The sequence below is a fragment of the Homo sapiens genome, chromosome 5, assembly GCF_000001405.40.
Source record: "Homo sapiens chromosome 5, GRCh38.p14 Primary Assembly".
NCBI lineage: Eukaryota > Metazoa > Chordata > Mammalia > Primates > Hominidae > Homo > Homo sapiens.
In genome coordinates, this window is record NC_000005.10 from 87,505,979 (window position 1) to 87,507,531 (window position 1,553).

At 34.2% G+C, this 1,553-nt stretch overlaps 1 pseudogene; it reads left to right on the forward strand.

Annotated features, from left to right (window-relative positions):
• Window positions 1-1,218: 1,218 nt before the first annotated feature.
• On the forward strand, window positions 1,219-1,328 carry LOC124901222 (uncharacterized; annotated as a pseudogene).
• Window positions 1,329-1,553: the final 225 nt, after the last annotated feature.

The following is a 1,553-nucleotide window of genomic DNA, read 5'->3' on the forward strand; positions in this document are numbered from 1 at the left end:
ATGCACATTATGCAATGTCAAAGAATAAAAGCATTTTCTCTAAGGTCAGGGACAAAACAAGGAGGCTGCCTTGACCATTGCTATTCAAAATTGTACTGGAAGTTCTAGCCAGAGTAATTGGGCAAGAAAAAGAAACAAAAGGTATTGAAATTGAAGTAAAAGAGTAAAACTGTTTCCAGATGACATAATAGAAAATCCCAATAATCCATAAAAAAGCTACTAAATCTAATAAACAAATTCAGCAAAGTTTTTGAGTACAAGATAATGCATAGAAACCAACTGTGCTCTTATACACTGCCAATAAACAATCTGATAAAGAAATTAAGAAATTAAGTAAATTTCTGGTAGCATCCAAAGGAATAAAGTGCCCCCCAAAAATTAGCCAAGTAGATTATGATGGTTAATTTTATGTGTCAACTTTACTGGGCTAAGCAATGCCCGCATAGTTGATAAAATATTTCTGGATGTGTCTGTGAGGATGTTTTCAGAAGAAATTAGTATTTGAAGTGGTAGGCTGAGTAAAGATTATCCTCACTGATGTGGGTGAACATCATCCAATCCACGGAAGGCTGAACAGAACAAAAAGGCAGAGGAAGAGTAACTTGGCCTATGCTTGGGCTGGGGCATCCATTTTCTCCTGCCCTCAGACATCAGTGGTCTTTGTTTTCAGGCTTTCAGACTTAGACTGGGACTTACACTATTAGCCCTCCAGTTCTCAGGCTTTCAAATTTGGAATGAAACTATATCATCAGCTTTCTGGTGTCTTCAGCTTGCAAATGGCAGATCATGAGACTTCTCAACCTCAGTAATTGTGTGAGCCAATGCTACATAATAAATCTCTTTCTATATATTTCTATATATATATATCCTATTGGTTCTGTCTCTCTGGAGAACCCTGATTAATACAGATGTGAGAGACTTGTACACTGAAAACTACAACACATTACTGAAATAAATTTAAGAATACTTAAATGAATTGAAATATATTAGTGTTAATAAATTTGAAAACTTAATGTTGCTATAATGTCATACTACCCAAATAAATCTATATATTCAATGCAATCTCTAGGAAAATTCCAATGACATATTTTTTAAAAAAGAAAAAGCTAATTCTCAAACTCATATGGAATTGTGAGTGTCTCCTAATAGCCAAAACAATCTTGAAAAAGAAGAGTAATTTTGGAGGACTCATATTTTCTGATTTAAAAACTTTTTACAAAGACTACACTTTCAGGGATTATTTCTATAGTTCATTCCTAGAGAAATTTCTCTGAACATGTAGAGCATGAAAAACTAATTATGGAAAGGGAAGACCATTACCAGCCAGTACAAAAACACAATGAAGTACACAGACAAGTTACACAATAAAGCAACCACATAAACAAGTCTGCCAAATAACCAGCTAACATCATGATGACAGGATCAAATCCAAACATATCAATACTAACTTTAAATGTAAATGGGCTAAATGCCCCAATTAAAAAACACAGAGTGGCAAGCTGGAAAAAGAACCAAGACAAATTTATATGCTGTCTTCAAGAGGCTTATCTCAC